Below are 12,351 nucleotides of genomic sequence, written 5' to 3' on the forward strand. Positions count from 1 at the left end.
CCTTCAAAAAATTAATGAATCCAGGAGCTGGTTTTCTGAAAAGATCAACAAAACTGATAGACCACTAGCAAGACTAATAAAGAAGAAAAGAGAGAAGAATCAAATAGATGCAATAAAAAACGATAAAGGGGATATCACCACTGATCCCACAGAAATACAAACTACCATCAGAGAATACTATAAACACCTCTATGCAAATAAACTAGAAAACCTAGAAGAAATGGATAAATTCCTCAACACATACATCCTCCCAAGACTAAACCAGGAAGAAGTTGAATCTCTGAATAGACCAATAACAGGCTCTGAAATTGAGGAAATAATCAATAGCTTACCAACCAAAAAAAGTCCAGGACCAGATGGATTCACAGCCAAATTCTGCCAGAGGTACAAAGAGGAGCTGGTACCATTCCTTCTGAAACTATTCCAATCAATAGAAAAAGAGGGAATCCTCCCTAACTCATTTTATGAGGCCACTATCATCCTGATTCCAAAGCCTGGCAGAGACACAACCAAAAAAGATAATTTTAGACCAATATCCTTGATGAACATCGATGCAAAAATCCTCAGTAAAATACTGGGAAACCGAATCCAGCAGCACATCGAAAAGCTTATCCACCATGATCAAGTGGGCTTCATCCCTGGGATGCAAGGCTGGTTCAATATACGCAAATCAATAAATGTAATCCAGCATATAAACAGAACCAAAGACAAAAACCCCATGATTATCTCAATAGATGCAGAAAAGGCCTTTGACAAAATTCCATAGCCCTTCATGCTAAAAACTCTCAATAAATCAGGTATTGATGGGATGTATCTCAAAATAATAAGAGCTATCTATGACAAACCCACAGCCAATATCATACTGAATGGGCAAAAACTGGAAGCATTCTCTTTGAAAACGGGCACAAGACAGGGAAGCCCTCTCTCACCACTCCTATTCAACATGGTGTTGGAAGTTCTGGCCAGGGCAATTAGGCAGGAGAAGGAAATAAAGGGTATTCAATTAGGAAAAGAGGAAGTCAAATTGTCCCTGTTTGCAGACGACATGATTGTATATCTATAAAACCCCATCGTCTCAGCCCAAAATCTCCTCAAGCTGATAAGCAACTTCAGCAAAGTCTCAGGATACAAAATCAATGTGCAAAAATCACAAGCATTCTTATGCACCAATAACAGACAAACAGAGAGCCAAATCATGAGTGAACTCCCATTCACAATTGCTTCAAAGAGAATAAAATACCTAGGAATCCAACTTAAAAGGGATGTGAAGGACCTCTTCAAGGAGAACTACAAACCACTGCTCAAGGAAATAAAAGAGGATACAAACAAATGGAAGAACATTCCATGCTCATGGGTAGAAAGAATCAATATCGTGAAAATGGCCATACTGCCCAAGGTAATTTATAGATTCAATGCCAACCCAATGAAGCTACCAATGACTTTCTTCACAGAACTGGAAAACACTACTTTAAAGTTCATATGGAACCAAAAAAGAGCTCACATTGCCAAGTCAATCCTAAGCCAAAAGAACAAAGCTGGAGGCATCACGCTACCTGACTTCAAACTATACTACAAGGCTACAGTAACCAAAACAGCATGGTACTGGTACCAAAACAGAGATATAGACCAATGGAACAGAACAGAGCCCTCAGAAATAATGCTGCATATCTACAACTATCTGATCTTTGACAAACCTGACAAAAACAAGCAATGGGGAAAGAATTCCCTATTTAATAAATGGTGCTGGGAAAACTGGCTAGCCATACACAGAAAGCTGAAACTGGATCCCTTCCTTACATCTTATGCAAAAATTAATTCAAGATGGATTAAAGACTTAAATGTTAGACCTAAAACCATAAAAACCCTAGAAGAAAACCTAGGCAATACCATTCAGGACATAGGTATGGGCAAGGACTTCATGTCTAAAACACCAAAAGCAATGGCAACAAAAGTCAAAATTGACAAATGGGATCTAATTAAACTAAAGAGCTTCTGCACAGCAAAAGAAACTACTATCAGAGTGAACAGGCAACCTACAGAATGGGAGAAAATTTTTGCAACCTACTCATCTGACAAAGGGCTAATATCCAGAAGCTACAATGAACTCAATTTTACAAGAAAAAAACAAACAACCCCATCAAAAAGTGGGCGAAGGATATGAACAGACACTTCTCAAAAGAAGACATTTATGCAGCCAACAGATACATGAAAAAATGCTCATCATCAGTGGCCATCAGAGAAATGCAAATCAAAACCACAATGAGATACCATCTCACACCAGTTAGAATGGCGATCATTAAAAAGTCAGGAAACAACAGGTGCTGGAGAGGATGTGGAGAAATAGGAACACTTTTACACTGTTGGTGGGACTGTAAACTAGTTCAACCATTGTGGAAGTCAGTGTGGCGATTCCTCAGGGATCTAGAACTAGAAATACCATTTGACCCAGCCATCCCATTACTGGGTATATACCCAAAGGACTACAAATCATGCTGCTACAAAGACACATGCACACGTATGTTTATAGCAGCACTATTCACAATAGCAAAGACTTGGAACCAACCTAAATGTCCAACAATGATAGATGGATTAAGAAAATGTGTCACATATACACCATGGAATACTATGCAGCCACAAAAAATGATGAGTTCATGTCCTTTGTAGGGACATGGATGAAACTGGAAACCATCATTCTCAGCAAACTATCGCAAGGACAAAAAACCAAACACCGCATGTTCTCACTCACAGGTAGTAATTAAACAATGAGAACACATGGCCACAGGAAGGGGAACATCACACACTGGGACCTGTTGTGGGGTGCGGGGAGGGGAGTGGGATAGCATTAGGAGATATATCTAATGCTAAATGACAACTTAACGGGTGCAGCACACTAATATGGCACATATATATATGTGTAACAAACCTGCACGTTGTGCACATGTACCCTAAAACTTAAAGTATAATAATAATAAAATTAAAAAAATAAAAAGAACGGTATTTGCCTACTTTTACCGCACAGAAATAGAGCTCATAGAGGTGAAGCAGCTTTTTGCTTTTCTCATGGTATCCATTTGGCAAGTGGCTTGGTGAAGAGTCAAACCAGGGTAGTCTGATATCAGGGCCTCTGCCACCTTTTGTTTAACAGAACAGTCATCTCTCAAATAATGACAGTTTCACCGTTCCCTACTCTCACTTTTTTTTTTTTTTTTTTTTGGAATCTTAAAGAGGCTAAATGAAGGAGACTGTGGGCAATAAGGGATAAAGTAAAATTACTCCAAAGCATATTTGATAAAAGGCAGAAGGACTCGGCTTTTAAAGACAAAAAAGGACTGTTTTAAAAATTAGGAAAAAACTTTTTTAAAAAAAGGTAGGAAAAACCACAGCTTAAGTAAAAGAGACATAAAATCCATAACTTTGGTCAAGAAAGCATCTATCAGATCAGTCATGAAAATGGGCGAAGAAAAATCAATCACATTTTATTGATTTAAACAACAACAGAATTTGCACCACCGAACAGTCACATTTTGTATTTGTCAAGAAAACTCACTGAAGAAAATGAATTAGCTTCACAGAAATGAATTTGCCCTGAAAGAAACAAATCATATGATAACATCTATATTAATGGCATATAAAAAAGCAAAATGTCTGAAGGAAAAAACTTTTCCTGGGTAAAAGTGCTACTTAGAAAGGTTTTTTTTTTTTTTTGGCTTCTTATTAATAAATATTTTCAATTTATTTTAAGAAAATGTATATTTAGGGAAGCAGAGTTCTATTGATAAACTGTTTCTTTAAATGGCATATAAAGTATAAGACTTTATGACTAGACTTTCTGGCTAGCCTGATAATATTTTTTTCTATATTTATACTATCTAGATGTATATTTCTTTCTAGAAAAGAAATAAAAGTTTCTTGTGTAATATTGAAGCCTCAACACTCTATATGTCATCTTCAACTCTTAGGTCAAGGGCAACTTTCTCGAACAAACTCCCACCAGAGTCATCTCTCCTTTCTTTGGAACTCCTCTTCGGAACACATTTAAGGACTTCTATCCTGTATCACAAGCTTTTTAAAGATGTGGTCTTAGTGTCTTCTCTACTAAACCATTCGTTACTTGAGAGAACCATACCTCTTTTTAATTTACTATAAAAATAAAATGATTATTGCTAAATATTTGTTAAAAAGTGAAAATAAAACAGAAATGAATATCATATGCTGACATTCAAGGATGAAATGATTATTTTCTTTTTAGTCTTGAGTATTACATTACTTGAACTTAGTTTACATTAGAGTTGCTAATTTATCTTGAACTCTTCTGTCCAAACAAAAAACATTTAGTATAATAGAAAATCCAAATTCAGATATTGTTCCAAATTATGCAAATTGATTTTCATTGTAACTCTGGGTCGATAGACCTATTTCTTCAAAGTCAGCAAAAATGCAACAGATTGCCAACAAATTCATGCATCCATTTATGTATTAGACAAGCTTTTAATGAGTGAATTTTGGCTCATTATTTATTTCCCCTCAAAAATCCCACAGAGTTACACTTAAACAGCTTTTGAAGGAAAGACTGGAGTATACATAATGAGTTGACCTAATAATTTAGAAATTATTTGGAAGTATGACTCAAATCATTTGTCATTTCAGATAAACCATTTCCCTTCTTTGCTTGGCATAAATGAAATTATTAGACATATAATAGCATAATATTTTCTATGTAAGGATATTGCAAAACTGAAAAAAAAAATCTAACCACACTCATGGCTTTGAGGAGAACCTGGATTCAGTTCTTAAAGAAGTCAAGTAATAGACATTATATGCAGTCTACATTAAGCCCAGTTCCATAGCTTAACAAGTCTCACTGATAGCTTAGCACTAAAGATCAACTTAATTTTAAGTAACTGCTCCTTAAAGGAGCAGTCAGCATCATTTGTTACATTAAGCAAACCAAAGTGAGGAATGTTCCTGTAACTTACCATATATTTGGATTTAATTGCAGTTGGTGGTAGGAGTCAAAGTCATCTCTCAGGATAATGCTGTCACTATGTATTTCAGCTAAAAGAAAAAGGAAGTATTTAGGAAAGAAATATACTACAACAGTACATTTAGCTAAACACAAGTGCCAACATGCTGTATTTATGAAGAATAATGTATCCTAAAACTAAATTTTAAATGAGCAGTTGATTATATTTGCTTTGTCCCTCAAACTACTAAGGGACAAGGGTAAAAAGCTCTGCGGTTTAAACACCTAGAAGTTGGGAAAACCAAAGACCCCAAAAGGAAATCTATGAAGCTATCACTAGGCAGGCAAGGCAGGAAGGCCAAAATCAGCACCAACCTACAAGGAGAGGCTATTCGGGACTTGTCTTCCTTCAGTATGTCTTGGCTGTGTCCCTACCCAAATTCCATCTTGAATTGTAGTTCCCATAATCCCCATATATCGTGGAAGGGACGGTGGGAGGTAATTGAATCATGGGGGCAAGTTACTCTCATGCTGTTCTCATGACAGTGAGTTCTCATGAGATTTGATGGTTTTTTTTTATTTTTTGAGACAGAGTCTCGCTCTGTTGCCCACGCTGCAGTGCAGCGGCATGATCTTGGCTCACTGCAACCTTAGTCTCCTGGGTTCAAGCAATTCTCCTCTTTCAGCCTCCTGAGTAGCTGGGATTACAGGTGCCTACTACCATGACTGGCTAATTTTTATATTTTTAGTAGACGGGGTTCCGCCATGTTGGCCAGGCTGGTCTTGAACTCCTGACCTCAGGTGATCCACCTGCCTCGATCTCCCAAAGTGCTGGGGTTACAGGCGTGAGCCACTGTGCCCAGCTGAGATTTGATGGTTTTATAAGGGGCATTTCCCTCTTTTGCTCGGCACTTCTTGCTGCCACCATGTGAAGAAGGACGTGTTTGCTTCCCCTTCTGCCACAATTGTAAGTTTCCTAAGGCCTTCCCAGCTATGCTGAATTGTGGGTCAATTAAACCTCTTTCTTTTAAAAATAACCCAGTCTTGGGTATGTCTTTATTAGCAGCGTGAGAATGAACTAATATATCCATATTTCAACATATACTCATCCATGGCTTCCAAGAGACTGCCCAGACAGCGTCAGTGTCTAATTCACTTTAAAGCATGGAATTGGATAGAACATTCTGGCTATTTATTCTCAGCTAAAATTGCTGTAATCTACTAACCCATTTTTTCTTCTCTTTCCCACTATCCTTCTTGCCCTGGCTTGCTTTCTCTCCTTCCCTATATTCACTCATCTTTTACTGAATGTTTTTAAATTTGTGAACTTTTTTTCTCTTTCAGAACTGCATAAGAGAATTTATCTATATAAGTAAAATTCCTAAATAAAATCAATTTAGAAGTCAGGAGGAATGCCAGGGAGCCATACATGGTTTTAAATATATTATCACTACACATTTGAGGTATATTGAATACCTATTTTTAAGTTCTAGAAGAACTTTGGGCATGTCAAGTGCAATATTTTCACCAACTGTAGAGTTCATATTTCTGCTGAATAGATGATGAATAAGTAAACTCACTTTCATGGCTGGCTACGGTGTAAGTGTGCTTATTTTAAAGGTTGTGTGAGAAATGATAATTATTTCTATTCATGTTGTAAAAATTAATTTAGTACTTTAACAATGCTCTCATCTGATTCATGGTTTGCTTAGGAAGTTTGTTCCAGCTACTCTAACTTCTTTGGGTCTTGACAATTTTGTTTGAACTAGCTAACAGACTGTCTTTTGGAAAAATTAAAATAATATCTGATTAACAAAAAACTCTCATAACTTTTTCTTTTAAAGGTGATATTTTTATGTTTTTTAGGCTCACTCAAATATAATTCTCTGAAATCACTGGGTAATTAAAATTACTTCCCAATATCAGGAAGCATAATTTCACATTCTCTTTGGTGACATCCCCAGCCATGGCAGTCCTTGCCTCCTTTATACCAGGTAGGCCAGCAGGCAAGCACGTAATGAAGTCATGGAAACCAGTGAATCAGCATGTACTGAGAGGACTGGATGCTCAGACGCGAAGCCTCAGGCATGAGAACAGGGAGAATATGGATATACACTGGAGAGAACGCTGTGATGTATTCTGTGCATGGGAGTGATTTAATGATTCCTCTGAGCGATGAGATGCAGTGCCTCAGATGCCTACAGGGTACAGCTCTCTCAGATACCCAATCTGGCCGAGACTTGGCTGGGCCACTGCGGGTCACCAGCCTGTCTTGGCTGCCAGAAGGCATGCTTCTAAGCGCTTGCATTTGTCTGCCAAATAAGAGGAGCCCCAAGCTGTAGCATTACATAAAAGTAGAGCTTCTCAAGGCAGATTTTCCAAAGAGGAAAAATAAATTAATTGGGTTTATAGGTTGAAAGGAAAAGCCCAAGAGACAAATAACTGACCTATCTAGAAAGTCCCATAGTGAAAGACATTTGAAAAGGCTGCAACCAGCTAGGATGATTTCTTTTCATTCTTATTAAATACTATAGTGTAGGAAATTGCTTTTAAAATAAATCTTCACTGACACAAATGAGAAAATTAACGCTTAAAGATCACTTGTTTTCTAGAGACTTTTTTATTTACAAAGGCAATGGGTAAGCCTCATTGGATACCTGTTTGTGTATTGATTTACTTCCAAACACCACTATATTATTTACCATACACTTTATGAAAACAAAATCATTTATTCCTTATACCAACCCTATGAGATAGATACTATTATTAATTCTACTTTGCAGATGAGAAAACTGAGGCACAGAGAGGTTAAGTAACTTGCTCAATATTGTGTGGCTAGCAAGTGGTAAAAGTGAGATAAACCCAGGCAGTTTCCCAGAATCTGTGATCCTAACCACTATATACCCTGCCTCAAGAACTGTGGGCCACTAAGAGCATGACATTATGAAAAATCCATGGTGCCATTTTAAGAAGCAGGTATTTATTTAAACAGTCTCATTTCAATTTTTTTTTAAAGAAACAGGATCTTGCTCTGCTGCCCAGGTTGGAGGACAGTGTCACAATCATAGCTTGCTGCAGCCTTGAAATCCTGGTTTACATGATCCTCCCATCTCAGCCCCCAAAGTAACTAGGACTCCAGGTGCACAACCACCACACTGACTAATTTTTAACATTTTTTTTTGGTAGAGATGGGGGTCTTGCTCTGCTGCCCAGGCTGGTCTTAAACACCTGGTCTCAAGTGATCTTCCCACCTCAGCCTCCTAAACTGTTGGGGTTACAGGCATGAGCCACCATGCCCAGCTTCAGTTCAATTTTTAAAGAAATGACAAAATAATTTCTTTTTCTTAACAATTCAGTACTAATTTGAGCATAAATCCCAAATCTTAAATGACTTCAGTTCTTCCACATTCATGGCTTCTTGCCCACTAGCTCCATGCTCTAATATTTATGATGGGCATCTAGTATTATGAGGGACTCTGGGGAAAATTAAGCATTAGAATGCAAAAGCTTACACTCAATAGGATCTCAGGGCTGAGGGTACTAACAGGTGTGAAAGTTCCTGCATGAGCCCCCCGCTGGGCAGCATGAATGTTTCCTCAAGGAGGTTCTGTGTTCAAGTATAATCCGTACCCAAGTCCAATTTCAGTGACTGATCAATGATCAGAGAGGACAGCTTCCTTGCCTCTATAACATCTGCTCGTATAGCCAGAAAAGCCAAACAAGTAGATCAAGTACTAAAGTTAATGACATCAGAGTCTTAAACACTTACCTAGATGTGGGTGCACAGTGACATCTGTTGGAGCTGAATCAAGAGAGGAAAGAAGAAAGACAACTGATCAGGAATGAAAGCAAAATCCAGTAATAAAGAGTCACAACACAGTTATAAAACTTAAGTCACATTAAGCAAATCAAATGGCTACAGACTTTTTAGTCTTTTTAGGAGTTTCTGGAACCCTTGAAAAAATAGAAGACAATAAATTTAATGATCTTGTATTTTGTGCCAACACTTATTGGTTAAATCAGAGAAGAGTTTTGCAAAGATTCACTGAATTGTTAGCTCTAATTAAAGATTTTCTTGAAACAAAAGGAATACTTGCCAATTATCCAATAATGAATAACAAAAACCTGGCACAATGATATACATTCTCTCACCAGTATCACAGTGCATATGAACAAGCCAAATCTGAAGCTTCAAGGAAAACAAGGGTTTATTTGCAAACTAGCTGGAAAAGTAGGAAAATTTATGTTGAAATTGAAACTTTGAAAATACAAATTAATAATGGTTTTACACATGAATTTCCTAACGTGAATTGTGTCTCCAGAAGATTTTAACTGTAATTTCCAGTATCTTCTAAATTGTCTGCAAAAACCTACAAGAAAAATTTGAAGAATGTCTTGATGTTAATTATTTTAGACTTGCTTTTCAATGTATGCAATATTTCTGTGAATTCCATGTTAATAATACTATGCTGACACAAGAATAATACTTGGACATAGTTTTGAAACTGATATGTTTTTGCATTAAAGGTAAATCAGCTCTTCTAATAAAAATGAAAACATTTTGTCAAGGTGGATCTGGACATTAAAGGAAAATGATTTTTGATACTCAATTCAGTTACTGGAAGATCTTTAAGCAGGTAAGAAACACTGGGTATGTGGATCTACATTTCAATTGTCAATTTTATGAACTCTTAATACAGGCCAAATATTTCTTAAGATGTGCTATAAGTGTAAAGTACATACTAGATTTTGGAGATTTAGTACACAAAATGTAAAATATCTCATTAATAGTTTTAAATTGACCACATTATATCCAAATGTTTAATATTTTACATATTCTGTGTTAATAAAATACACTATTAAATTAATTTCATCTATTTCTTTCCATTTTATAGATGTGACTACTAGAATATTTAAAATTGCACACGGGGCTTACATTATACTTCTATTAGTGCTGAACTACAGCTAGGAGGGACATTTGTACTGTATATCAATTAGGAAATCGTTATCAAGCAGGAGGTGGTGGAGTTACAAAAGGAAGACCGAGTCACTCAGAGAGAATGTAAGGTATAAAGTGAGGCTGAGAGAAGTAGCTCATGCCTGTAATCCCAGCACTTTGGGAGACTGAGGCAAGAGGATTACTTGAGGCCAAGAGTTTGAGACCAGCCTGAGCAATATAGTAGGAGACCTCGTCTCTAAAAAAAACATTAAAAATTAGCTGGGCATGGTGGTGCACGCCTGTAGTCCTAGCTACTCAGGAGGCTGAGGCAGGAGGATCACCTGAGGCCAGGAGTTTGAGGATGCAGTGAGCTAGAAATGCAACATCACACTCCAGCCTGAGCAAGAGAGTCAGACCCTGTCTCTAAATAAATAATAAAAAGAAAGAAGTGAAATGCACAGTCAAATATATATTTAACGGACAGGTGGAAGAAGACAAGCTAGCAAAGGTGACTGAGTTAAAGTGCATTCCATTAAGGAAATAAGAAAAAGAGTTTTAAGAGCTAAGAGAGTTGAAGGAGAGGCCAAAATAATCCTAATAAAGCTGATATCTACGAAGAACATCCTGCTATTAAGGCACTGTGCTAAGGAGTGTCTATAGATGAACTCAGGGATTTTGGCCTCAGAGTCTAGACTCAACAGCTGTGCAGACTGCTCTTTCAAGAAGGTTAGCTGCAAAGGTGAGAAATGAGATCTTATATGGAGATGAGGACCGAAGGGATTTTTTTGTTGTTTGTTTTGTTTCTTAAGATATTATGATAGTGGCCGGGCCCGGTGGCTCATGCCTGTAATCCCGGCACTTTGGGAGGCTGAGGTGGGCGGATCACGAGGGCGGATCACGAGGTCAGGAGATCGAGACCATCCTGGCTAACACAGTGAAACTCCGTATCCACTAAAAATAAAAAAATAAAAAAATGGCCAGGCGCAGTGGCTCACGCCTGTAATCCCAGCACTTTGGGAGGCCGAGACGGGCCGATCACGAGGTCAGGAGATCGAGACAATCCTGGCTAACACGGTGAAACCCCATCTCTACTAAAAATACAAAAAATTAGCCGGGCGTGGTGGCGGTCGCCTGTAGTCCCAGCTGCTCAGGAGGCTGAGGCAGGAGAATGGCGTGAACCCAGGAGGCGGAGCTTGCAGTGAGCTAAGATCGCGCCACCGCACTCCAGCCTGGGGGACAGAGCGAGACTCTGTCTCAAAAAAAAAATAAAAAAAATAAAATAAATAAAATAAAATAATTAAATAACATAAAAAAATTAGCCAGGTGTGGTGGCGGGTGCCTGTAGTCCCAGCTACTCAGGAGGCTGAGGCAGGAGAATGGCGTGAACTTGGGAAGCGGACTTGCAGTGAGCTGATCGCACAACCGCACTCCAGTCTGGGGGACAGAGTGAGACTCCACCTCAAGAAAAAAAAAAAAAAAAGATATCATGATAGTTTACCATGCCTAACGTTAGCTATATTGCAAAAGGGATTCTCTGTATTCATGTTATAAAGTGTTAAAAAGAAAAGAAAAACCCTGTCTACACAGTATGGAACTTTTCAAATTATTTCACAGGTTGTGAAATAAACTGGTTAAATTAAATGTAGGAAAAGTTATGACAATTATTAATTAGAAATATTTACTATGCAATACAATAATTAGATATGTATAACAAAATATCTGCAGAAATATTGTTGCCTACTTTACATTAAATGACTTTGGTGACTAAGGCCTCAACTCAATAAAGGGAATGAGTTATAAAATGCTTTACTTTAAATTGTTTATTGAAATGGACATCTACCTTTGCTAAATTATCTGGACACATGGAAGCTTTCACTGAAACATATACATCACAATCAGCAGGAGAGGGCCATTTTAGAAAGACCCACTGAGTCAGAATCTCTGAGGGTGGAGGCCCGGAAGTTGTATTTTTTAAAACCTCCTTGACCGATTCTGATAGAAAGCCAGATTTAAAATTCACTGGTTTAAACTACACAATCCACTGCTTATTTTTATAGCATGCTGAACTGTTCTCTGTGTTAAGTACTCATCTTTGCTCTGAAGAAGAAATAGGCTCCTCAAAAGCAGAAAATATGTCCACCCAAGACATAAGCCAAAGCTGGTAATAGTGTCTCAATAAATAATAAATTGATTTGAAAGCTACTCCTTAGTTGTAATATATTTTATGATATTTCAGAAAATAATTGAAGATCCAAACCTTTAAAAAATGCCAGAATAGACACATAACATTGTCCAAAAGTCCTTTATTATAAGTGGTCTGGGGAGCTTCAACACCAAGTCAGTATTTACCTGGATTTAATTTAACTCAACAAATTTACATCGTATTTTAAATCACTAGTTAGGAAGGTTTAATATATTTTAACAAAAATGTCCACTATCTGAGATAACT

The 12,351-nt window shown here is 37.4% G+C and overlaps 1 protein-coding gene across 2 annotated transcripts in view; it reads right to left on the bottom strand.

Moving 5' to 3' along the window:
* The window catches only part of RELN (reelin), a 517,870-nt gene that overhangs the window by 272,661 nt on the left and 232,858 nt on the right, over positions 1 to 12,351 (bottom strand). For both annotated transcript variants that reach the window (NM_173054.3, NM_005045.4), the window contains exons 5-6: positions 8,733 to 8,765; positions 4,977 to 5,055 (exon numbers count right to left, since the gene is read on the bottom strand). In NM_173054.3, coding sequence (NP_774959.1) covers positions 4,977 to 5,055; positions 8,733 to 8,765 — 112 coding nt within the window. The remainder of the gene's footprint in view (positions 1 to 4,976; positions 5,056 to 8,732; positions 8,766 to 12,351) is intronic.

This window comes from Homo sapiens, chromosome 7, assembly GCF_000001405.40.
Source record: "Homo sapiens chromosome 7, GRCh38.p14 Primary Assembly".
Taxonomy (NCBI): Eukaryota; Metazoa; Chordata; class Mammalia; order Primates; family Hominidae; genus Homo; species Homo sapiens.